General features: G+C 42.1%; 1 long non-coding RNA gene across 1 annotated transcript, besides 1 other annotated feature; it reads left to right on the top strand.

Moving 5' to 3' along the window:
- Positions 1-441: 441 nt before the first annotated feature.
- Positions 442-27,640, top strand: LOC105377492 (uncharacterized). The gene is made up of 4 exons (XR_939354.3): positions 442-1,336; positions 13,383-13,511; positions 15,945-16,159; positions 25,655-27,640. It is a non-coding gene; the product is annotated as an uncharacterized LOC105377492 (long non-coding RNA).
- Positions 7,000-7,069: an enhancer, noted in NCBI's record as "active region_22029". NCBI's record gives its function as "activates an Ori minimal core promoter by ATAC-STARR-seq in GM12878 lymphoblastoid cells {active_cell/tissue: GM12878}" and the evidence as "EXISTENCE:reporter gene assay evidence [ECO:0000049][PMID:35858748]".

Here is a 27,640-nt window from a genome sequence, read left to right as displayed (position 1 = left end):
ATCCAGAGCTTTTGACTTCAGGTTCTGATTTGAGCATGTGCAGATGGATAAACTGAGCTGTAACCCCATGCATCTTATATCAAGAGGACCAGCCACTTGGGGATCCTCAAGGATATAAGTGCCCTCTCCCCTCTCCAACCTGTTTTCCCATCACCTCCTCCTAACTTTCATTGGGGTTTATTTCCAGATTCTCCCACCAGGTATCTTAAGTGTTTTCTCCACATGGAAATGCTTTTCAGTAAAATGAAAATGACTGAACTTTTTATAAAGTGAAGTTCAGAGTATCCCTTCTGGGACTCTATTTTTTCCCTTGAAATTCTAGATCAAAATTTCAAAAAGGCCAGAGTGGGGTCCATAGAAGAGCAGAAGCAATGAGTTGGAAGGACTTCTGTGCACCTCTATTAGTCCCACTGCATGGAATCCTTAGGGTGAGTTCATAATTCCCATGATGACCAAAGGTCTTTCATACCTGGAAGTGTGCAGTGTGAATTGGTCTGGGTGTACATTGGTCCGCAGCCCAGCTGTGACAGGGTGTGCCATCACTGTGAGTTACTCCTGACTTTCCAAATCTGCCCAAGACAGTCAGAGACATTGCCCATGAAATCATCTGCCCTGGCTGCTCTCTCTAAAGGCCTAGAGCCAGTGAGAGCCTCAGAGGCCCACCCACAGGCATGGCAGTCAGCCTGGGGGGCTCCCTGTGTCAGCTCAGCTCTCCAGGCTAAGTCCTAAGGTCTAAATGACAGACTGCTGCCACCTGATCCTTCTGAACACATCCTGTTTTGCCAGAAGGCCCCCAAACCACAGACATTCCATGTCTCTGCACTTGGTGGTTTGTGGTGTTTGAATCCCATAGCCACGGGCTATTCATTTGTATATGTTTCACTGTGGCTTTCCGCTTGGTGACCTAGACTCTTACCCAGCAAGATTCCTTAAGGTTTCAAAGCAGCTAGAGAGACCACTAGCAAGTTTCTCTTTGTTAAGGGCTTTTTAACCATTCCTTCTTAACTGAAGTTGCCTGTTGGTTGAAGTGGGCAGCTTCTTAATTTTCTGAATTCGTCAGTGATGATTGCTCAGATGTCTCTGCAAATATTTTTAGGTATGTGTGAATAAATCAGGCCTAGTATCACTACCCTCAGTGAATTTTTTTTTTAAATTAAAGCAGCCCTTAGAGGCTTAAGGTCTAATTTAATTGAATAACTAGGTGTCATAATGAGGGACTCCAATGAAAGAATGAAAGAATCTCTGAAGTGTTGATTGGCTGTTTCTGGAACTTGGCCCAAGTTCCTACTACAGATGTACCATGTCCACTTTTCTCAGAATTCAAGTTTCCTGGTTGGTGAGTACAATTCTTTAAAATTCATGGGAGAGGGATCTCGGTACTATATTCCTCAAAGCCTCCCCACCCCAGACTAATACACACACACACACATGTTCTCCACCTGCAGGACCTGAGTCTACACAACCCCCCAGTGTTTCTGTTTATTTCCGCTCAGCTAAGGAGTCATTGCAATGGGGAAAATAAATTAGAACCAAATTAGACTGAGATTCAGAGTCCAGGAAGCATGGCTGCCTATGAAACATTACTGGTTGTTTTATGTATTCACTGCCTGGGGGGTGAGGTTGGGGGAAAGCCAGATATGTGGCTAATCACTGCACAGAATGGAAATCTGGAAAGAGGTCCAAATCTGATAACATATATAGTATCTTCCCTCCAGTTGTGTCCACCTCGAAGAAAAAAAAATTACAGAATATTCTCAATCTGTTAAAAATATCTTACTTCACTCTTTTCCCTTGCTTACCCTGGAGAAATCCAAATTAGAAAACTTCCTATTTAAGATAATCAACAGAGGAGAACAACAGATCAACTTGGGCTAATATCAGTAGCAGGGAAGACCAATTAACAAATTCATGAATTGTGCTGTTTACACTTCTATTCCTAAGGTTAATTATGCGATCAAGTAATAGCTTTTGCCTTGATTAGAGGGCCCTTAGGAAATAAAAGTGTGTTTCCTCTTTACAAGTATGTTTGCATTTCAGTCCTGCAATGATAGCACAGGAACTGGGCTCAGCAAACATCGCCTGTGCACACAGCTGTAGTCAAAGCAGAAGGTCTTAATTTAAATAGCCTCAAGACTCAACGTGTAAACAGAAGCATCATCCATAAAAGTGCTAACAGTCACGTATACATTTTTCTCTCTCTCTGCTTTGGACTACTTATAGTGTCAATTCTTTGCAGAAGTTTATTTTCCCATTATTCCCTATTGTAAAGAATCAGTAAAATTAGCTCCTGGGGCTATAGGTATAGAAGAAAGAAACATCGCCCACATTTCAGGGAGCACTCTCCGCAAGGCTGTTCCAGCTTCCTGTTAATAATGGCAGCTCACGTTTTTGAGGTGCTATCCCATGGCAAGGGACCTCACATGTATAAATTCTGTAATCCTCACAGTAAGCCTATGAGGGGAATATTGTTATCATCCTCTCCTTTTCAGGCGAGAAAACAGAGGCACAGAAAGGTTATGTAAATCACCCAAGTCCATAGCAGCTAGCTAAGCCAGGGTTTGAACCCAGACATTCTGGCTCCAGTGTGGACACATTTAACCACCATGTGCTGTTGCTCCTCTCTTTAGGGCCCTGACTTAAATGTGCAGTGTTAGAAAAAAGTGAATTATTTCACCCAAATGAAGAAGCAACACATTGTGCCATTTGAAATTCTCAAGTGAAGTGCAAAAGTTTCCTTGTCCGTTTACAATCCACTTCTGAGTAATCTGACCCAACGTCATCAGAGAGAAAATGGCTTCCTTGGGGAGTGCTGAAAGCATTAGAGAGATGTGACCAGAGATCTCCGTCACACTGATTCCTCCCTTACCTTGCCAGGAGCACTGGGCCAGCCTACATTGGCTACTCAGCGCTTGTCGAGGTTGGGTTCTCCTATGGCAACACAGTGATGCCCAGCTGGACACAAACCTTGATTGACAATGGTGGTAAATTAAGAGATGGCTTATTGGCTTTAACAAGGACTACCCACAGAATATTCTGGATTAAGAGCAATGAACCAATTCATTTCATGTCTTCCTTTTCACAAGAGCACCTACTGAAAAATGCAGGAGCAATGTGCAGGGGTTGTATTCTCAGGCTTTGGAATCAAATGGAACGGAATCAATTTCAGACTCTGCCGTTTACAGCTCGTTGACCTCAGGTACATTACTTCCTGTTTTTGCACATCGGTGGCCTCATCTGTAAGAGTACTACCTCAGACGCCATAATGAAGAAGAACTCAGACTATCCAGGTACAGAGCTTCGTTCTTACTACTCAGAGTGTCCTGCGGCAGCAGCACCCTCACCAGAGAGCTGCTTGGAAATGCAGGCTCTTGGGTCCTGTTCCAGACCTGCTGAACCAGAATCTGTACATTCACCCTCCGGTGCTGATCTGAATGGTCCTTCATCTCAAATACTGAAATTTGAGAAGTCATGGCAAGTGAAGCACATAATGGCCATTAATTGTAATGATATATATTGAAATTATCTGCCATCAAAGTAAGCTCAGCATCACCATTCCAGGAGTGAAGTGTTAAAGGAAAGAGACCTTGGAAATGAGAGGCAAGGTCCAGGTTGGAAACCCCCTCCCTGCTTCTCCAGCTCCTCAGTTTCTAAATTCTCAGAGATAAAGGGAAAACACCTGCAGAAAGTAACTAAGCCTTTTTGGAGAAACTCTTGGGAAGACCAAAGTCAGGGAAACAAACAGCTATACAATTCATGGTTTTTGCATCAGGCAATGATAGAAACCAGCAATTCATGCCTTGTACCTGAACTAGGAAAGCCTTTTCTTTTCTTTTTTTAAAGCACAACCCAAGTCTCCTGCCAGATCATGGCTTTTAATTTAAGTGTACAGTTACTGCTCAAAAGTGATTCACAAGCCTTTAAAGAGCCACTCTCCTTTAGAAGTCTGTTTAGAATGCAGAGGGTTTGAAGATTAGTGTTGGGAGTGAGAGCATTTGACTGCCTAAGTGTTCAATCTCCCAGGTACTTAGATATTTCTCAGCAAGAACTGATGTTCATTAAACTGTAAGCAAATTAAGAGTTCAAGCCAAAGAAATAAAGGAAGACATAATTAGTGTACGGGAGTCATCCACCATCGTAAGCCTTCTCTTAGGTGAGAAGTCTTCAGAATTAGTTCCCTGCACAAAAGAAAATTATACAGCTGCTTTATGCAGGCTGCCGATGCTATGTTTTATTGCACGCAATTTACAATGAAATGAAGCAGAAGTCTGCAAGACTGCATTAAAGCTTTAATTTTCCTTTTGGGTTTTACCTCCATTTTATCTTTAGAAGAACCCAGAATGGTTTGATAAATAGAGTATTTTGCCAGTCAATAAATTAAAAAGCTATTTTTACCAAGTGGACGCTGAATTGCTACTGCACATGACAGAAGCTTCCTGGGATTTCAGAGGGTGGGAGGGCACACCATCCTTCAGCAGAATTGATTTGTGGAAAAAATATTACTCCCTGTTCCCCAAATCCAACTACTCTGAAGAAATGTGGTTCTCAGTGACTTCTGACACACTCTGGTGGCTGTCTTATTACAGGGTCTGGGTTTCAGGCAAAACTTTTGGGAATCAGATAAAGGAACTGGACTCCCATAAGACAATAAATCTCATCAGACATATTGTAGACTGACCCTCCAGCCCCAACAGGAGCTTTGTAAGGAATGAAATACCAATGCTCCCCCATCCCACCCTGTAAACGATTATTTTCAACTGAGCTAGAAAACCTGAGAGAGCTGGTTTGAGTCTGTGGAACTGTCACGTGCCACATTCTGTGCCACCTCCAACTATCCATCCCCAGGCTTTGCCAGTTAAAAGGCAGGATGGCTGGCGGCGGTGGCTCACACCTGTTATCTCAGCACCTTGGGAGGCTGAGGCAGGTGGATAACTTAAGTCCAGGAGTTCGAGACCAGCCTGGGCAACAAGATGAAACCCTGTCTGTACAAAAAATACAAAAAATTAGCCGGGCGTGGTGGCTTGCACCTGTAGTCCCAGCTACTCAAGGGGCCGAGATGGGAGGATCACTGAGCCCAGGAAGTGGAGGTTGCAGTGAGTCGTGATTGCCCCACTGCATTCCAGCCTGGGTGATAGAACGAGACCCTGTCTCAAAAAAATAAACAAAAAGAAAGGTGGGAGTGAACTTGGAAAGAGGTTGGGAAAGCCCTTCCTTGAATCTGGATCTGGAAGGTGGTTGTAGAGCTCCGCCTGGCATTTGCCCTAGGACCCCACTTCTCTCACTCTGCAGAGCAGGGGAAGGCCCTAGGGTCTGGTCTGAAGGGGGAGGTTTTGGAAGCCATCATTGGCTGAACAGACCCCTGAGAGAGTAGCTGCAGTATGGAGGCTCCTGGAGGGTCCAAGAGAGGAACCTGCAAGCTGGCTGGGAGTTGGGGCTCGGCAGGCTGACCACATTTAGGTTGCCCTCGACCTGCAGCCTTGAGGTCCAACTTTATGGGAAAGGTGCTAGGCAGCTGACCTGGCTGGAAACACCGTTTTGAAACTAAAATGGTGTTCCATTTGCACCATCAGTAGTAATAATGGCCACCTCTCAGCAAGCCAGTTTTTGATACTACAGCAAGCCTGAGAAATGGGTGAGTTTTATCTCTAATTTACCAATGAGCAAAAGAGGCTGAATGTGTGTCTGTCATTTGACTCGTCAAACAGATGGTGGTGGAGATTGGAGATTGGCCTCTACCCAGGAAACTAAAGCTGGCCCTCCTCTTTGTCCAGTTCCAGGAAGTTCTGGAAGTTGGGGAATATGTAAGATACAAGAAGAAACTTGTGACATGATTTCTGAGGAAGGGAGTAGAATGTTCAGAGAAATGGGAGGAAATAGGGATTCAGGAAAGCAGGGGAAATTTTTAAAAGAAGGATCCCAAGAAGGAGGGTTAGGAATGGAAGGAAGCTCACGGTCATCTCGAGTTCTGGGCAGTGAGGAGTGAGGCCCTCTGTGTGCACTCCCACCTTATTTGAGTCAAGAACCTCAAAAACATTCCTGGAGCCTCATGTGTGGGAACTGTAGCCGAGAAGGAATCTGAAAGGACATAGCACAAACCACTCCAGAGTCACCTGCAGATGTGGAAATTCTTCCATCACATAACATGGTGCAGTGAGGTGACCACTGGCCTGGTGACAAAACTCCAGCTGCAGCCTGAGACCCACCCAATTCCCCTGCCCGGAGGATAGGTGGGGATGCTCCCAGGGGCCTCTCTCCCAAAGAAGGAGGGAGCAGTCCCGCTGCCAGGCTCGGTCTACATGACTCCATGTTCCAAGGGGGATCTGGTGGTGCCCCCTGGTCTTTGGAATAGGGAGGAGATGGGGTACCCAAGTGGGAAGATGTGATGTAGGGCCCGGTCACACAACGTAGTTCTGTTGATTTTGCAACTATCATCCACCCAGTGGCCTTCTTTCTAAAAGCACCAGTAGGTGTATTTTGTTTGTTCCTTTGTTTTGTAAGACATACATTTTAGTTAAAACTTAATTTTCTCACTCTCTAAGACACCTGGCACCAAGACTTTGGAATTACTTGTTGAAAAATTGATTGGGGGGCAGGGAACAGAGTAAAATAGAGAAAGAGAGAAAACTAAAAGAAAAATCATTTCTCCCAGCACTACAAATGAATCACTAAAAAAACCCCCTAACTCCCAAAGCAGCAGTATGTCTACTGTTTTGCCTGGGAACAGAATCACCTGGCACGCACGAGCTGTTTCCTGAGCTTGGTCTGTCAATGCATGGCCTCATCATTAATTAACATTTCCGAAAGGCCCTTCTTGCACGGCAGATGAGGGAGCTCAATTTGCTGTCCTGAGGACGGGCAGGGAGCTGACTCATAACATTTTGTAAAAGAAACTGGTCTTGCTGCCCTGGTGCAGGGACAGAGGCTATGGGAGTAAATGAAGCAGAATCAGAAGAATCAAGAGAAGCTGCAAACAGAGGCAAGGCCCTGCCAGGCCCGGACCCCTCCCTGTGGACCACGAGGAGGTGCTGAGGGGGAGCTGCAACCCAAGGGTTCCTCAAGAGGACTGTCAGGCTCTGTGGCAATGGAAACAGGCCAAGAGGGGCCTTGCATACAGAGACACCAAACGTTCTCAGATTTCCAGGACTGACCTGACTGCCTTCTATTCTTTTCAAGAAAAATGTATTGGCATTTCTGCTCTAACATCACATATACATTGCTAAAAACTCTGAGTTCTACAAAATGGCATGCTAAAAAATAATAGGGCTTATGGGAAAAATAGAGTTGGGGCAGTCCATAAAAACCAATGGAACTTGGTAACCAAAGCACTCGCAAACAACAATCACAACCTTAATAAAATATGAGCCTGGTTACATTTCTCCTGACATTTCCACTGGGCATCATCAGCAGTGAATTCCTGGCAGCCTTAAAGCCTCTTGCTTCTTCCTGAACATAGGGTCTGGAGGGCATTCACTTCCACGAGAGAGAAGTTTCTTCAAAGTACAAAGTCTCAAAGTCTCATTCAGGGTGTAGGCTTCCTCATTAACGTTTTTAACTTTGGGGGATATATAATCAAGCTCCTGGATCTAATTCTAGTTTATAAGAAATATGGGAGATAGATGAACATCTTAAATCACACCATGAAGATACAATTAGCCAAATCCAGTGTAAACCTGATTTCACCACCTCAACTATAAAAATGCCTTTTTTAACAGTCAGCCAAGATTAAGCAATGACTTATCATAGGTGATATTTAGGAATTAGCGTTTATTTTGTGAGATGTGATAGTGACATTGCAGTTTTTATAGTTACATGTTTTAAAAATCTTTGTTAGAGATAAAAATAAAAACAGATGATGTGAATATACCAAAAAAATTTTAGCAGTTGTTAGACCTAAGGGACTGGAATGTGAGATTTCTTTATACTATTTTCTTTACTTTTATGTAAAATTGAAATGTTTATGTAAAATTGTAATATTTTTAAAAAGGCTCTTATCTTGTACTGCCAGAAAGTAAGGAAGGTCTAAAAATAAATAAAAATGTTTAAAAAGCTAAACAAACACCCTCTCCCCACCAGTTGTGGGGTATGTCAACTGGAAGAGCTCCCAATGGCCAAAGCTGGAACAATTTGAGCAAAATAATAATAATAATAAAATAAGATAGAATTATATTATAACTGAAAGTATAAAATAAATATCCTTAAGTTCATACTGACATAGACAAATGAGCGGAATGGGACAGAAGAGACAAATCTCCCAAACAGAAGAATTCCAAATAATTGATGTAGATACTCCATCTTGTAAGGTGGAGCCTGTCTCTCCACTCCTTAAGTGTGGGCTGCATACAGGGACTTCTGTCCAAAGGCTGGAGCATGGAAAAGATGGGGAAAATGAGTAACTCTGTAAGTGAAGAAGCCAGACAAACACTACCTCAGCCCAGTGATCAAAGTCAGCATCAACAGTGATAATTCATATTGATAATATGTGCCCCGGATATGTGATTAAAATGTCATTTTACCTCTGTGATCTTCGTCTGAAAATCCTTTAAGCCCAGTCTAATTATGAGAAAAGCATCAGACAAATCCCAACAGAGGGTTTCTACAAAATGCCTGACCAGTGCTCCCCAAAGCTGCCAAGGACATCAGAAACAAGGAAAGTCTGGGAAACTGGCACAGCCAAGAGGAGCCCAAGAAAATGTAATAACAGAATGTAATGTGGGGTCCTAGGACAGAAAAGAGATACTGATTTTTTTTTAAGCCTAAGGAAATCTGCATAAAGTATAAACTTTAGATAACAATAATGTATCAAGCCTGGGCAATATAGTGAGACCCCGTCTCTACAAAAAAAACATTTAAACATTAGCTGAGCATGGTGATGCATGTCTGTAATCCCAGCTACTTGGGAGGCTGAGGTAGGAGGATGGTTTGAGCCCAGGAGGTGGAGGTTCCAGTGAGCCGAGATCATGCCACTGCACTCCAGCCTGAGCAACAGAGCGAGACTCTGTCTCGAATAATAATAATAATGTATCAATATTGGGTCATTAATTGTGTCTAATGTACTATACAAATGTCAGTTGTTACTAATAGCAGAAACTAGGTACAGGGTATGTGGGAACTATCTTCACAAATTTTCTGTAAATCTAAATTTACAGAAAAATTTTCTCAAAATCTAAAACTGTTCTAAACCATACTTTAACAAAAAAATAGGAGCAGATGGATTAGCAAGATATAATCGTCCCCGGACCCAATTATCTTTTGATTTTTAAAAATGTCCTGGAACACTATGGCAGTTAAAGGAATCCAGTCTGGTAGACCAGTGGAGCAGGCTGTGGCCAGCTGAGGCAGGATGGGGCTCAGGGACCCCCTGCCCTACCACCTCATTCATTTTTATTAACTCCCAGCCCTTCCCACTTTTCTAACCTCTGCCCTTCTAGAAATGCCCTCAGTTTACTTTCACATGCTTTTGCACCTGACTTCCTTGTTTGGTACTGTGTTTAATAACAGCTTTATTGAGATATAATTTATGTACCCAAAAGTTTACCCTTTCAAATGTACAATTCAGTTGTTTTTAGTATATTTATAGACTTGCGCAACCATCACCACTGTCTAACTTTAGAACATTTTCGTTACCCAAAAAAGGAATCTCAAACTCGTTAGCAATCACTAACCCATGCCCGCAGCAACTACTAATATGTTTTCTGCCTCTATCACTTCGATGGTTTTGGACATTTCATATACATGGACTCATACAATGTGTGATCTTTTGTGACTGGCCTCTTTCACTTAATACAGTTTTCAAGGTCCATTCATGTCGTTGCTTGTATCAGTATTCCATTCTTTTTTAAATTTTTAAAAAATATTTCTTTAAATTTTTTTTTTTTTGAGACAGGGTCTCACTCTCACCGAGGCTGAAGCGCAGTGGCACAATCACAGGTAACTGCAGCCTCAACCTCCTTGGCTCAAGTGATCCTCCCACCTCAGGTGCCCTCCCCTCCACCGCAGTAGCTGGGACTACAGGCCCACCCTACCACACCCAGCTATTTTTGTTTGTTTGTTTTTGGTAGAGACATTCACTATGTTGCCCAGGCTAGTCTCAAGCTCCTGGACTCAAAACAATCCTCCTGCCTTGACCTCCCAAAGTGCTGAGATTATAGGCAGGAGCCACCAGGCTGGGCCCATTCCTTTTTTTTTTTTAATTGTTGAATACTTACATTGTATGTTTATGCCACATTTTATTTATTCATTCAATCGCTGATGGATATTTGGGTTGTTTTCACCTTTAGGCTACTATAAATAATGCTGCTATGAATATTCATGTATGAGTTTTGTGTAGACATATGTTTTCATTTCTCTTGGGTATATACCTAGGAGTGGAATTGCTGGGTCATATGATAACATTATATTTAACCTTTTGAGGAGCTGCTAAACTGTTCTTCAAAGGGGCTGCACAATTTTATAGTCCCATGAGGAATGTAGGAGGGTTCCAGTTTCTTCATATCCTCACCAACATATATTATTGTCTTCTTTTATTTTAGTACATCCTAGTGGATGTGAAGTCAGGTATCTCACTGTGATTTTGATTTGCATTTCCTCAGTGACTACTGATGTTGAGCACCTTTTCATATGCTTATTGGCTATTTGTCTATCTTCTTTATAGAAATATATATTCAAATCTTCTGCCTATTTTTAAATTATCTTTTTTATTGTTGAGCTGCAAGAGTTCTTTACATGTTACGTGGGAGAAATTCAAATATTTTCTCCCATACTCTGGGTGGCCTTTTCCCTTGTTTAATGGTGTCCTTTGAAGCACAAAAGTTTTTAAATTAGATAAGGTCCAATTTATCTTTGTTGTTGTTGTTGTTTTCTCTTGTTCCTTTTTGTTGTTGTATCTAAGAAACCCATGACCCTAGTTCTATGAAGATTTATACTTATGTTTTATTCTAAAAGAGTTCTATAGTTTTAGCTCTTACATTTAGGTGTGTGATTCACTTTGAGTTAATAATGGTATGAAGGTCCAACTTCATTCTTTTGCTTGTGGATATCCAGTGGTCCCGGCATCATCTGTTGAAGAGGATGATTTTTTTCCCTTGTTGAATTACCTTGTCACCCTTGTTGACAATTAACTGATCATAAATGTAAGGGATTACTTCTACTTTCTTATTTTCTAATAGCTATTTTTTTCTTATTACCAAAGAAATATTTGTTCATTGCGGAACTTTTGGAAAATATGACAAAGAACAAAGGAGAATATATTAAAACATGCTATAATCTCATCATCTGGAACAAACCAGGTTTTTGAAGCTATCATTTTGAAATATGTTTCCTGGTAAATAAAAAAGCTGGGGCAGAGAGTGGAGGTGTTTTGATGGTCTGTATATCCTAACAGTGGCAAATGTGGTTCTGATGGGCAGCCAGAGTTGAGAACCACACTGAGAAAGGCTGTGGTGAGCCATGCAGGTGTGCTCAGGGGAGCTCCAGGGATGAAGATTGTGCAAGCATCCTAGAGAGTGAGTTGACCCAGGACAGCATCTCAGCAGCCTAACAGTCGGGAGAGTCAGGGTGCCTGGGGTTGGCTGATTTCCTTGGGCTCCCCTGCCGTACCCTATGGCTCCTGCTCTGGGACCCACCACACCCAGGATTCAGCCTTCCTCCGTCTATGCCACTACTGCTTGTGCTTCTCTGTTTCGGTTTTTTCCTAATGTTTCTCTTTTTCTTACTCTCAAATTCACAGCCCTCCGAGAGTAGGTCTGATTGGGTCAGTGATTCACAATCTCCAACATGGAGCAACTTGGAGTCCTCAATACAGGTCACTGGAAGTGACCATATAATTTATCATTCAAATTGGGGCCCTTCTGAGAGTGAATGTAGGGGCTAATGGTGATGAAACTGGAGCAGCAGGGATAAAGTAGGACTGTCCCAGGCAGATTGGGATAAATGGCCACCCTATCTACAGGTCACCGATCTTCCTGAGGTTCATTCCAGCATTCTTCAGTGTGCTCTGTGTGAAATCCTACATATTCAGCCCCGCTCTTCCTAACTCTTTCTTGATCATGCATATTGTAAAAGTATAATAGGTATACATTAACATATTGAAGGCTCTGAGAAAGAAATAAGTGACTGTTTAACCTTTTTCATACTTATGTGACTATTGTGTCTTTTCTTTTTGTAATATGTGTTTCCTTTGCCCTGTGGATTCCTCCTCCCACCTCTCATAACCTCCAGGGCTAGCCAATTAGTGCATCCCCTGCCAATTAAGTGATTGGTTCAGGGATGGTCACATGATAGAATTTGGACAAATGAAGGCATTACTCCCAGAACTTGCGTAAAAGCTACCAAACCTTTTTTCTTTCCTTCTCTGGAAGATGTGAGGTAAAGATGGAATTACTACAGCCATTATGTGAAAATGAGCCTAAATATGCCATCAACTCCCAGGAGGGCAGAAGAGAAATCCTCTGCATCCTGCCTGATCCTAAGGGAATAAGTAAATGAGGGACAACTCCAGTGGCTTTCTAGCAGAGATTTAAAAACCCCTGTCAATGACCAACTCAGATATCATTCGTAAAGAAAGACAGGGGAGACAAATAACTTCCCAAAAGAAACCAGGTCCGTGGTGACATTGTGGAACTATTGGATGGTTTCCCAGCTGAATCCAGCCCTGCCTTTGGGTTATTAGCCAATTTAATACTGTTTGTTCCTAAGCCTGTTTGGTTTGGATTTTCTTTCACTTGCAATTAAAAAAAAAAAGCTACTTTGGGGAAAGCTGATTTTGTTCTATACTTCTTGAGCACAGACCAAGGTATTGGGGGAAGAGGCAGGTGTCACATGTCACAAAAGCAAGTGGCTATTGATGAATACTGAGGAGAGAGCTGTGGTCACAGCAGGCTGGGTGTACTCTTCAGTATTTTATTTGACAGTAAAGCACAAATACTTCGAACATCATCAAATCTACTTCTGCTACATGATTTATAATTACTGCATAGTATTCTATTGTATGTATTTATTATTCACTTAATCAACTGCCCTATTTTCTCTTTAGAAGAACAAAATATAAATTTAATATTATTTAATATAAATGATGCTTTGATGAGCATCTTGTGCATAACTAATTGTTCATGGACATCTCTGATTACTTCCTTATGACTGGTTAATCAAAGTGGAATTGCTAGGTCAACTGGTGTGACATGGTCTTAAAGCTCTATGTACCCATTGTTAAATTGCCCTCCAGGAATGTTGCATCAGTTTACACTCACAAGACAGGGCCAGGAGAGAATATATGCCAGGGGCTCCATGTGGGATTATTCCAACACCTTTGCCAATTGATAGAAAATGAGATCTCCTTGTTTTAATGTGCTCTCTTATTATTATTAATTGGCCATCTTGGGTTTTTATAGGTTTTTTTCTCATCCAAGAATCTAAGAAGAGTCCATAAAGAAGGCTGACAACAAATGAATGGAGAAAACACAAGCCCCAAAGCCTGCAGCACAGCCAGGGACCCTCTGTGAGCTGAGTCTGTGAGTTAGGTAAGAGCATCTCCCAGAGATCTTGAGATAGGCCTGGGACTCAGAAGAGAAAAGGGCAGGCACAAAGGAAGGTGAGACTTTACAAGATCCATCAGCATCACATGTAGTAACTCCATACAGAGTCATGCAGAAGAAAGAAGAAGAGAGAGAGAGAGAGAGAGAAAGAAAGAAAAGAAAAAGAAACTCAGATCATTTTCAGAGGAGAAGATGCCAGCCAGGGCTTTTTGCAGCAAAGTCATTAAAACTCTTTGCTCCATTTCAAAGGTGTTCCTGGGGGAAGGTGAGGGCCTCACAGACTGGGGACAGGGGAGCACTGGGGGACAGAGGGTCCTTGCCTCTTGGGAGGCCACAAAGGGGCCACCTCTGATCCACAACACCCCGCCTTTGCTAAACTTAAAACTTGGTGCCTTCCTCTATTTCTCTCTTGGGTTAAAGGCCATTTCTTATTTCTGAAGTAAAAGTAGAACTTTTGTCATTTTTTCTCAGAGCAACACATCCCCCAGGAACCAGCCAACACCCATTTTTCCTGGATTTCTCTGCCCTGGCACGCAGAACCTCTCCTTCTATTTGAACCTCTTGTTGTCATCACTGTTTGCCTGTGGGTTTGGTCTCCTGCGCACATACCATATCCCCAAGGCAATGGGACTGAAGACTGATTTTTAAAACACATGTTTTGTTTTTTGTTTTTTGTTTCTGACTACAAAAGATATACAAGAGCAAAGAATAAATGAAGATTGTACATAATCCTACCGTCAGAGATAACTACTATTAACATGACCTCTACATATCTGATAGTTTTACTTGACATAGATAAATATGTAATCTTTTCAAAATGTAATTTCTAAAGGAATCTTCTTCCTGGGGCCTCCCCCTCCCTATCCTTGACCCATTTGCTCCAAATAAGATTCGTGTCACAGACTAATGAGCTTATTGGAAAAAGAGAAAGCAACATGACTGCTTTAGAAATTCTCTGTGATACACATGAAGGAAATTACTACCTTAACATGCATTTCAAAGGTTTTCTTTTGTACAAATATGACCTGTCAGATGGCCCCTGCTTCCTAAGCTTCCAGGAGGTTATTGTGGAAGAGATTCTTTTCTCTTTTTAACAATCATAAATGGGAAATAATATTCAAGCTGGGTGGTCTCAGAGGCCAAGCAATTGGTGGGATAATGAGATACAAACAGGAACAGATAATAAGGCAGGGGAGGTACAAGTTCTCTCCTTGTGGGAAGCCAGCAGGGAGGTTTCCTGGGAGACTCAGGGTCCACCAACCTCCAGGACCCCAGAGCAAGTGTCTCTTGAAGACCCAGAACAAGCTTGCAGACCAGATGCAGCACTTGTTCTGGCACCTTCTTTGACACCAGCTGCCCCTGGCACTTGGGTGAGGGAGGTGCCTTCAAGATAGATGGGGCATCCCAAGTATAGAGGCTGATAAAGAACTGCTGTAGCCCAGGGCTGCCAACTTCCTGGCCCCATTTGTCTCAAAGCATCCTACTAACAGGCATTTCCTCCTTAGTAAGATGAGCTCTGCCATCTAACTCTGTCATTTGAGGCCCGAGAATCTTTTGGGTGAATCCTGGAACTACAGACTGGCTCATCTAATTTGATGAGATTTCTTTTAAAAATAATTAAAAAGTTACCCAGGCATGGTGGCTCACACCTGTGGTCCCAACTACTGGGGAGGCTGAGGCAGGAGGAGCACTTGAGGCTGGAAGTTCCAGGCTGCAGTGAGCTATGACTGTGCCACCTCACTCCAGCCTGGCCAACAGATCGAGACTCTGTCTCAAAAAAACAAAACAAAACAAAAGCATAAAGGTAGTTTTTACTTAAATACTTAACCCATCCTTTAGCCTTCTTTGGGAATACTTTAGACCAGCGATTCTCAAAGTATGGTCTCTGATTATCAGCAGCAACCTGTCAGAAATGCAAACTATGCCTTAACCCCAGACCTACTGAATCCAAAAATCAGAAAATGCTGGGTAGGCCCAGCAGTCTGAAATTCTGACTCACCTAAAATTTGAGAACCATTGTTTAGGGAAGGAAAAAGAAAAGAAAAGAAATATGTGTGTGTGTGTGTGTGTGTGTGTGAGTCTATGCACACATTTATATACTGTATACACACACTCGTAGATGTGACTTAGGTGGCTGTGCAAACACAAGGCATTCTATTATAACAGAAATTCCTTTTGGGAAGACTTAGAGAAAGACTTTGCCAACACCTCTGTCCCCAAGGTCCCAAGTGCACAATCCGAACACCATGACAAGGGCAAGTGGCAGTTTCCATAGGTTTGTCTTTGGAAAATGAACTCCTTCTGCTGGCCCTTGCTTCTATTCCCCTTTCCCGGTTCCCCACCCTGCACTCTCCCCTTTCCATTTTCTTTTCTTGCCCCTGAATATTCCCTTCATGACTGAAAAATGCCTCCTTTCAGGGACCAGCTCTCTTCTCCATGAAGCCTGCCCTGATTCTCCCCAGAGGGAAGGCTGGCCCCCTTTTCCAAACTCCCACTACATTTTGTCCAAACGATGTTGGAAGCCACTGGGACTCCCCAAGAACAATATCCAAGTTGAAGACACCTTTTGCCACCCCCGCCAGTGGACATGGAAGGAGTGCCGCACACACCCGCCCTGAATGCAGAAGCAGCAGGTAAGGATGCACAGCAAAGCAGATAGGGGAGGGCTTGAGGGAGGAGAAGGAAAAGTCACGGAAATGAATCAGCATCTAAATGGTGACGTGATGGACCAAGACAAATTGGCCCCTAGTTTCCAGTTTAAAGATGGATTATCACATTAATGTTAAATTCTATTTAAATGAGACTATTTCTTCACAGTGGGCATTCAATGAAATACCCCTGTGGAACAGAATATTAGGAGAAAAGAACAAAGGCTCAATAAAGATGGGAATAGCTAAAGGTAAAACCAACTATATCCATAAAAAAATACATCTTTTAAGCTTTATTTCCCTGGTCTCAAAGACATCTCTATTTTTCTTTTTGCAACCAGTACCAATTGCTCCTTTGTGTGATTAACAATGAGCTCTTTAATTTTCTACCACTTGACCATGCTCCATTCAGCAAGGTTCATCCTTATTTCCCCAGCCTTCTCTGACAATTTCACCTTTCATGCCAGGAATGTAATTGCTGAAAGGCAACCTCTGAATCCTGGGAATTTGGAACAGCCTTCATTATTCTAGCCTCCGCCTCACCTCCCTGTTTTGTATCAATCCACTGAACTTGGTTCAATGCCAGAACATCCAAAGCATCTTACACAGACTGTTGGTGGGAGGTGAGACGTCAGACAACCAATTCCCTCCTCATTCTACAGACGTCAGAACTATCTCAGCCTCTTGCAGCTACCATTGATCCCTAGGTCTGTGAAAACAGCACATTCAAATTTTAGTGGTTGCCTCCACCGGAGCAAGTAGAGATTAGAATCAGCTGTGGTTCTAGATGCCCAGGCATCTAGATGGGAACACAGACCTGCGGTCCATGAGAGCAGAAGTGGGAAGCCAGACTGACTTGGGTGGGTTCCCCACCCTAGCATTTGAGGCATTGACTTGTAGCATCACCTCCCCAAGGCTCAGTGTCCCTCGCCTATAAAATGAGGGACTAAACGAGAAATCAAAAGACTACTTGGCAGAGTGTCTAGAATAGAGTAAGTGCTCAATAAAAGATATTAACTAATAATTATAATAGTAGTAGACTTCCATGTGGTGACTAGCCAGCCAAGCTGACATTCGGCCTGGGGTCCCTGGGACCTGTTGTTGTTGTTGCTGTTCTTTGTTTGATTTTTACCAGTCACTTCTCTCTAACCTGCTCCGATCAGGCAGAGCTGAAGCTGTGCATGAACACAGCTAGCCAGCTGAGGGGCCATCCCATCATCTCCTCCCAGTCCGTTTCAGGAGGCTGGACTCTTCTGCTGTATCAGCTGTACATCACCTTATGTAGATCGCCCTGAGGGCCTGACTCCCTTGCTTGTAACAACTTGAGAACAGGACCGGTTTCATTTAGTCCTAAATCCTCCTTCTCAATAAATCTTTGCTGAATGAATGAATGAGTGAGCAAAAACTACCTCTGCTCCAGCGCCAGTTGTATCTCTATATCCAGTCTAATTCTTTGCTTGATCAACACTTGGTCTGACTTGTCACTGGTCCCCTTGGGCTGCTAGTTCCTCCTGGGACAGGGGCTCCTCAGCTTTCCACCTGGACCCTTGTCAGGAACAGTGGAAGCCTAGGCAGAGAGGGCTGGGTCTTAGTAAGAGCAGAGGATCAATAAACTTCCTCTGCTAAGGAAAAAGTTCCCATAATGGGATAAGGCTGCACCATTTAGGACAGTAACCCAGGGCCTCTCTTTTTCAAATCTAGCTTCGCACAGAAGCAATAACTTTTATTTGAACATCCTTTGATTTTAAACATTATCAATCAATATACATTTAAGAGCACCAGATATGTGTTTAGCATTTTACTACATGCTGAGGGTAAGAAAGAAGGGCTGTATTGTTCTGAATATAAAGTAGGTTTTCTTTAATATTATACAGTAAAACATGCATTTCTGCTATTTGCTTTACTGGTGATCCCAGCTTTTTTATGCATGAAGTCTGCATGCATAAGAAAGCTGGGATCACCAGTAAGGCAAATAGCAGCATGCAGACTTCATCTCCAGGAAGGGAGGAGGAGGGTCAAAGGATATTGGGGTGGGAGGATGTAATAACAGCACTTATTATTTCACTCATTGTTAGTAACATTTTCATAGCAATTCAAGTCAATAAACATACAATAGCGCTTTGGTAAGAAATAAACTTATAGGTACAAATTAAATATAAAAAAAACTAAACTTAAACTGTCATCAATTAATGTTTAACTCTGGTGTCTTTTTCATTTTAAGAAAAATGTTTTCCTCTTTCCATGTTGATTGGGCCAAGATCCAGAACTTTCAACTTCCCACTGTGTTAGTTGATGCATGGAACAGAGAGGCTGGGAGGCTACTCACAGGATGGTTGGGAAGGTTGCAGATGGGAATTAAAAAACAAAAACAAAACAAGACTTCCCAAGCACAGTCATATAGCTGGGTCTTGCAGAGATTAGAATGGAGTCCCGGAAATGAAAGGATCCAGCACAGCTCTTGGGACTGGGCTCTCATTGCCCCCATTAGCAGGAGTTTGTTGATTCTCTGCCATTACTGAGACAGGCCTCATTCTGCCTCGGCCTCTGTTGTTCCTGCCTTTCCATTAGCCCCTCATCCTCTAGTCAAAGTATTGTTCCCACACCTCGTGGATTTTGTCTTCTGTTTACACAAAATTCATCTTCTCTCATGTGAGTTTTCTCTGCTTCTAGTTCTATTAGCCAACTCATGAATTTTCTCCACCCACCCTTCAGTTCAATCCTTAGAAAGAGAGAATACAATTTCAGCAGCTGGTCACCATTGTCTCTGTTGGAGATGAGTTTTGCTCCTTGCCTACTCAGAGGTCACAGGCAGACATATGGATCAGCTGTCCTCAGGCCAGTGCCCACTCAGCCACTAGGATGCAGGCAGAAGACAATACATCCACCTCATGCATCTCCCTAAGCAGGGCACCGTGATCCCCATGTTACCTATATTTGACCTTCTAGCAAAATTATATCAATCCACTGAAGTTAGTTCAGTGCAGCCTTTGTCCTGCTGCTGGGGACTGTGTGCTCCATCAGGGCAAGGCATGAGTCTTTTTTTAAATCACATCTGTAACCTCAGTACATAACACAAAGGTAGTTTTTTCTCAAAGTTATTGGAATATTTTTCTGAATGTTGAATGCCACTGGAATGTTTTCTCCCTGCACTTCTTTGCCTGGCTAAGTCCTACTCAGTCAAGGCTTGTTTCAAGAGATTAATTTCCGTGATGTCTCCATCATTCTAGATTATTTAATCATTCTCTGTAATCCTAAAGCATCCCATGTGTACGTCAGTCACATCATTTGTGCTTTCTACTGTAGTTGTTTATTTAATCACTGTAGAGGACAATGGTCATTTCTAGCAGCCCTAAATCTCTTAAACAGCGTCTCCATATTCTTATAGTTTCCCATGGTTTACATCTCAAATTCCTATCACACCACACCTGCAGTTCCCAGCCTCTTGTGCTAGGATGCAGATATTGATTTATATTCTGCAAGTCAGATATGTTCATGCAGGACTTGGATTCATATCTAAGTTTCATGGGAAAAGAGGCAGGATACGGGCCTTCATTCTGCTGGCTTGGATGATGGCAGATGTGATGTGGTTATGAAGCCAACAGTAGTGGTGGTAGCTTCCTGATTCAGAGGTTCCTGTCTGTGGGAAAGACAACTTATCTTTTGGGCAAGCTATTTTAGTGGAGTCCTGGAAGCTCAGCATAGAGTCTGTTTCTTCCCAATGGTTTTTTGAGATATTTATAAACCTTAATTAATCCCTTTCAGTTTAAACTAGCTAGAGTGGATTATGTTGTCCACCATCCAGAACCTTGACCAATACTGGCTTCTTTCCTATCAGTCTGAACATGAAGGCAGGAATCGTGCCCTATTTGTCTTTGTATCTCTAGTACTTAGAACCATGTGTGGCACGTAGTAGGTTCTCAATAAATGTTTATAGGTGGTATAGATCATAGTCATGTGCCAAGTGACAAAGTTTTGGTAAACAATGGACTGGATATATGAAGGTAGCCCCATAAGATTATAATGGACCTGAAAAATTCCTATTGCCTAGTGACATTGTAGCTGTTGTAACATCCTAGTGCAATGCAGTACCTTTTCAATGTTTGGATATATTTAAATACACAAATACCACTGTGTTACAATTGCCTACAGTATTCAGTACAGTGACATGCTGTACAAATTTATAGCCATGGAGGCTATCCCATATAGCCTAGGTGTGTAGTAGGCTCTACCATCTAGGTTTGCGTAAGTACGTTCTGTGATGTCCACACAATGATGACATTACCTATTGACACATTTCTCAGAGCTCATCCCCATCATTAAGTGATGCCTGGCTGTAGTGTGTTAGTCATGCATGTTTGCTGAACTATGTATAACTCCTAACTAGCTAGTAGTTTTGTTGAATACAAACTGTTCTTGTGAGAAATCTAAAATATGTTTCCTACACAATTATTATCCATTTTAGCAACTGTGCTGGGCACGGTGCACATCAAGTTTAATAAGATACAATCCTCATTCCTCCCTCAAACCAATGGGGGTGATGAATCATTTTACTATTTAAATATGATTTGTAACTCATCTTTGGAGTGGGAAAGAAAGCAAGATGGTATTTGGCCATCCTAAGACAAGGTTGACTGAATCCTAAAAACACTGTGGTATTTCAAAACTACTCCCCATTTAACCAGAGTCAACTCTTGATTATTGGTACTGATGGCGAAGAAAACAGCTTTGACCATCTTAAAGAAGCTAATCAGCCAGATAACATTTCTATGGAATTTTGGAACATTTTTTCTGAATGTGGCAGAATCTTATGTTCTGGGAATTTATTTCAAACAACATGATGAAGCAGAACTGGAAAGACTTGACTCGGGTGAATCTGGGAATCCATCCAGTTTCCCAAGCCTGCCCCTCTGTTCAAATCTTTCCGTTAACAGTCTCAATGCTGGGAATAGACTCTTCATCCATCGGATTAATGTAAAGCATCACCCAGAGCAGAGCTGCCCTTACTGAAATCTTTCTTAAAGTTGGAAATATCATTAAGTATTTCATTTCCACAGGGCTTCCCTGTTGGGACACAGGATTTATATAAAATCAGAGCAATATGCAGTTGAGGTCACAATGAAGGAAAGAGAAAAATAGCAAATTGAAAGCAGAAAAGATATAGCCTAATCTGCTGACAAACCTTGGACAGTTTTTATCTATTTTCTCTGTGCCTTGTAAAAAAAAAATACTTTTCTTTAGCTCTCCTGGAATCCCAAGTTTCTTCAAATCATAGCCTTTCTTGGCATTCACTTCTTGCCAGGCACTGTGCTAAAAGCTTTCCCTGTGTTTCTCGTTTAATCCTCACTCTAACCCTCTCTGGTGTGTATTGTAATCCCAGTGTTACAGATGAGAAAACCGCTCAGAGGCGTAAGGAAGAAAATGAGCATAAGGCCATGTAGGCAAGGATTCAAACTCCAGTTTGAACTGTGTTCTCACTACTGTTACACAGCTGTCCACATTACCAAGAAACATACAAGTAACTTCCAGAAACTTCATCTTGTTCTTTTCAGTACTTTGAGGTACTCAAAATTTTTTGCACCCTTTCTCTACTTCAAAATTAAGTTCCTTCTGGCCAAGCATGGTGGCACACGCCTAACTCCAAGCACGTTAGAGGCTAAGGTGAGTGGATCATTTGAGCCCAGGAGTTAGAGACCAGCCTGGGCAACATGGTGAGACTCTGTCTCTACCAAAAAAAAAAAAAAAAGTAGGTTCCTTCTGATCGTTTTCAATGGCTAAGTCCCAAAGTGTAAAAGTCTACCCATTATATTTTTACTCCAATATCACTTTCCTAAGCTCATTCCTTAATAGAAAATCACATTCTGCCTCCCTATGGCTGGTCTTGTGCTGTCTGTGTGGCTTCTAGAACATGACCTGAGGAATCTGCAATAGTGGTATCTCGTGTGTATGTGCCTTTTTGTTTGCAAAAGGATCATGAATCTATTACCTATTACCTATTTGAAGTCTTTACCACAAAGCTATGAAATAGGTATTAGTATTGTATTTTACACATAAGTAAATAATGTGTATTTTACACATTAGTTTTGTATTTTGCACGTAAGAAAATCATGGTAAGCCATGCACGGTGATGACACAGCTGTCAGTGGCAGAGCTTTGGGCCCTGTACATGGATGCCACTGCTGCCGTGGCTCCAGCAGCTCCATTCAAGAGAAGAGCCCTGCTGAAGTGATAGACTGTTGAAACAGGGCTCAGAAGGCTCAACCGTAATTTCCCACAAAAGCATACATCTTCAAAACAGGCCACAATTAAGTTTCCAGTGGCAGAAGTGTTCCTTACAGTGGGTTTCAAAGTCACAATAGCAGCCAAATGGTAGCTCTTTTGAGCGCATGGAAGAACAAAGCATAATTTCACAATTTAGACCTCACTTTTTACATTTTTCAAGCAGCTTCCTGGGAGGATCTGGGCATTTTGGGGTGACCGGTACTAACACATTCTGGCCCTTTATGGCCTCCTTGAGCTGGGGGGACAGTCTTCACAGGCTGGGGGACACTTCTTCTCCCTCCTTGGCTAATTGCTCCATAACTTCCCACTCTCTGTAAATGGCAGATGACAAAACTCTCAAGGAAGCTTCTCATGGCTATATTTGTCTGTTATCAAGGGAAATTAAAATACCCGCATTTACATACTCTGGAGTTTGAGGCTTCATTTTCATATTTTATTGATCCCACACTCACATAGTTTTCTGTTCAATGGGGAAAATGCATCATTCTGTCGGCACTTACCTGCATAACCATGTGAACACTCAGGCCGGCTGGAAACCCCTGGGAGGAAAAATAACATTGCAAAACTCTGAGAATATTGTTCATTTTATAGCTTTCTCTACAGCCTTCATAGTTACTAGATTCAAAATTTGCCCAGTAAAATAAGTCTTACAATCATAAACATTCAGCAATGAAGAGTCCCTCTGCACAATTTTTTTTTTTTTTTTTTTTCAGATCTGAAAATTCTCTCACAAGCGTGGGAAACCTATCCCAAGGCAAGGGCAAGGAAGAGAAAGTTTATTCTATTTTCTTGGGCTTATTGCCTGACTTTAATTTTAAGGTAGACAGTTACTGAATAGGGCTTAAGTGGCTAGGGAGAAAAAATATATATGCATGCACACACAGACCTCCCCCCACATACATATGTGTGTATGCCTCTCTATGTACTTATTTTCACTTAAACTGTTGGGAAGAGGAGAACTACCACTTTCCTTTGCTTACCCTGTCTAGAATTGGGAATTCCCTTCTTGAGTAAGTCAGGACTTGAAGACTCTTAGGAATAAGTGAGAGGAAACCCAATTCCGACTAGTTTAAGCAGGAATTTTTTAAAAAATGAGAATTCTTTAGTTCACTTAGCTGGAAAGTCCAAAAGGAGTGAAGCATCAGGCATGGCTGGATCCAGGGGATCATGCAATGTTATCAAGGTGTGGTCTTCTTCCTCCATTTCTTAGTGTTGATTGCATTTTTCAGCCAGACTTTCTTTATCTGCTGGTCTCCAGCATTCAAGGTTGTAATTTACCAGTTTGGCAGCACCAGTGGAAAGAGAGCATCTTTATCAATCGCTTCAGTGAAATGTCTTGGGTTGGTTCTTATGGGACCAGCTTAGTTCATGTGTCCATCTCTGAACCAGTGACTGTGGCCAGGAAGATGGAATGTGTTGCAAGGCCAAGTGTGAGCCAGGGGAGGTGCCCACCCTTAAAGCTCAGAATGTGGTCAACCCCACTTGCACACACGTCCTGAAAATGGGAGAGGGATGCTTTCCCAAAACAAAATACAAGTTCTGCCCCCAGAAGGGGGAGTTATGCTGGGTAGGCCAAACCTACAAATGTTCACTACATTTACAACTCCTCAAGATAGATTTAAAGACATTTTTGTTTTTTCTGATCTAGTCCCATCGGTCTCCATGAACTCATTTTTCAAAGACAGGGATCTTAGTGAGAGGAGAGATATCAGTCTTACTTCCCCAGTTAAATAGTCCTAGTCCTTTACTTGGACTAGGTGGAGTAGATTGGATTATTATTAAAAAATATTTGCTGTGTGATAAAATTGCATAGAACTAAATGCACACATACACACAAAGGAGTGTATGTAAAACCTGACGTCTGAATTGGGTTGCTGGAATTTCCTGGTTGCGATATTGTTCTATCATCATGCAAGATGTTACCATTGGGGAAAACTGAGTGAAGGGTATATAGGATCTCTTTGTATTATTTTTTACAGTGCAGGCAGTCTATAACTAACTCAAAAATAAAAGCCAAAAAGAAATGTGTTACTTTTTCCTGGGGAAAATTCATATTTCTCAACTTCATTAATCCATTTATGGAGACTTAGCCGTGTGACTTGCTTTAGCCAATAAAATGTGAGTCACAACCCTGCTAAGCAGAAGCCTTAGAGCGAGGTTGTGGTTCACTGTGCTCTGATTTCCCTCTGCCTTGATGATTGGCATCATTCCAGACAAGGTAGCTCAGTGGGTCAGCCTGGGTCATGAAGAAGAGCACAATTAGCCCTCGATGAACATGAGGTGTCAGCAAGAAAGCAATCTTTTTCACTATGAGCCTAGAGATGAGGGTTATTTTTTTCTGCAGCATAACCTAGCCCCGTGCTTCTCAGATTCTGTAGCTTGCTTAGAATCGTCTGGAAAGCGTGTTAAGGCACAGATTTCTGAGCCCTGCACCAGAGATTCTGATTCAGCACCTTTGAGGTAGGACCTGAGAATCTGCATTTCAAACAAGCTTCCGAGTTATACTGATTTGCCCATCTGAGGACCACAGTTTGAGTATCACTGACCTCCTTGACTGTTACACCTTTGATTCTCCAGTGAACCTTCCCTTGAACTTTCCAAGTTGTTCATGTCCCTGCTATCACAGAGTCCAGAACTGAGCCTAGAACAGTGCTTAGCACATGACACTCAGTGAATTTGTTTAATAAATGGCCCAGTGCTCTTGACAGAACCTGATCTGCCAGTTCAAATGAAGCAATTATCTTTCTAGCCTTAAAATCCCAGTGAAATGATTGTGCTCTTTAAAAAGTATGTTTATTGTTTTCCTGATTAGAAAATACATAAATGTTTGTTATAGAAAATTTTATTTTCAAACACAAAGATAAAAACCAATCCATAATCCAACTACCCAAAGAAGGATACTATTAAAATTTTGGCCATATTTTTCATGTTTTTGGTATTTATAGTTATCATATGATACATAATTTTTGAGTTGCTTTATTAACAGCATGTTGTGCATATGTTCCCATGTCATAAAATAGCATTCTGCAGCTTCCTTTTTCATGGCTGCACAGTGTCAAGCTAAGAGGTAATGCATGTTGCCCAGAGTTTTGTGAGCTGCATACATCAGTAGCCCATGTTCAGTCCATGGTTCATTCAGATCTCTTGCTTCCCTTAACTCGTAACTGCTCTTATCCAATCATTTCCTATCTGTGTTTGTAGAGTTCACCCCAAGGATTTCACCAAGCACTAGTGTTCCTTGTTTTGCTTGTTTTTGATGCCTAAAGAGCCAACAAGTGACTAACAGACTGTTGTTCATGGATTGTCTAAAGTCAGCCTTCTAATAGCACCCGAAGGGCTCCTCATGCTGGTGCAACCCCGCTGCCACTGCTCCTGAGCCTATGTTCCCTTCTCTCCACCATGCACCTTCTGACATCATGACTCACTGGAGAACCAGGCCAGGATCCCAACCACCCCGTGTCTCAGTGGGCCTGGGCGGGAGCCCTGTGCTGCCAGGAGGAGCAGAGATAACATTGATTGTCCAGAAGCTCTACGATGGAGACAGGTTGTCATTGGAAGTCCAACAAGAGACAGAGGCAAGTGAGCTTTATGGAGCACCTACTGTGTGCCAGGCCCCATGCAACGGGCTTCTGTGGAGGCCTGCCCCTGCCATCTTCACAACCCTCAGGTGAGCCAGCTTTAGCTTTACATTTTATAGATGAAAAAAGCTGAGAGTTGATGAGACTAAGATACTATTTGTGAGACCAAAAGAAAGAGGAAAATCTCATTTAATCTCCAGGATTTGTTAAATTAGGCAAAGACAAGAAGGAACTTTTATGTGAGGACAGACTGAAGTCCTGGCATTTTCCAGCTCAGAAAGTCTGAGAAAGGATATGCTCAAGAACTATCACATGAAGGAAGAGCTCCTGCTTGACCGTGAGCTGGGCCGTCAAATCCCACATCCTCATGGGGACTCGATGCAGCCTGGATAGCAGGGTGGTAAGACTCTCTGCTTCCTGAGCACAGGGTCTACCCTCCTCTTGTGAACTCTGTGTCCTTCACCAAGTCATTGAACCTCCATCTGCTTCCTCACCTGTTTAAGAAAGGATGATCGTAATAGGACCCACATCATAGGGTTTTGTTAAGGGCTAAAAGAAAAATATGTAAAGCGCCTTGCCGAGTGCCTGGTACTACAGTAAGGATTTGATAAATATTAGCTGTTACAGTAATTAGGAGTCATATTTTATACCCTACAAGAGGCATTTGTAGATCAAAAGAAATCTCACATTACAGGGTGGGAAGTAAACTCACTAAACATAGCCCCAAGGGTGGCACAAACGGAAAATATAAATAGAATAAAAAAGGGTTAGATCACGAATGGGTAACCTTTTCTCTACCATAAGCCAGTGACACACAGGGGCAAAAAGAAAATCCATTTCTGGCCCCATGTAAGTCAAAGAAGCCATTATAGGCTGTGAAGGGAATTCAATTAGTCACTGGTTGCCATGCCAATGCAAACATCACCCTTCCACCTACTCTACCATCAACACATTTGAATAAGTAACAATGATAATAGCATGCACTAAAAATGCTATTTTTAAAAAAGTTACATGTGCTTCTTTCAAAAGTCTGGTTTTCAGAAATAATTGCTATAGTCCAGATGAGAATTCACATGGAATCCCTAAAATGGGTTGAGTATCATCAGAGAAGAGACATCTGTAGATTATTAAGGGACTCTTAGGGTTTGGAGTTGATTTTCTTGTGGGGGAGGGGAAATTTTTTCAACATTCCAAGCTTGATCAAGCAACCCTTCATGGTGTCAGAAATTGAGCTCAGACAGTCCCTTGCTCAGCACTGCTCTCCTCACACCCTGAAGCCTGACCTGGATCCCTGGTTTCATTATGCCTTCTTCAAGCTTTGCTTGAGTATCTACAATTTGGCAATGTGTACCTAAAACTTAAAAAAATACTTTGATCTAAGAATTTACTTAAAAAAATACTTTGACCTCAGAATCAATCCTAAGAAAACCAATACTGATATACAGAATTTATAGGAGCAAAAATAAAAGTAAAGAACAGAAATAACCAAAATGTCCAAATTAAATTGTTATACATCCATATGCTAGAATATGATGAGCTATTAAAAATGAGGCTGTCATAAAAATGAATGAGATCATGTCCTTTGCAGGCACATGGATGGACCTGGAAG

Source organism: Homo sapiens, chromosome 4, assembly GCF_000001405.40.
Source record: "Homo sapiens chromosome 4, GRCh38.p14 Primary Assembly".
Taxonomy (NCBI): Eukaryota; Metazoa; Chordata; class Mammalia; order Primates; family Hominidae; genus Homo; species Homo sapiens.
Note: the sequence above shows the minus strand (reverse complement) of the source record. Positions and strands in the feature narration are given on the sequence as shown.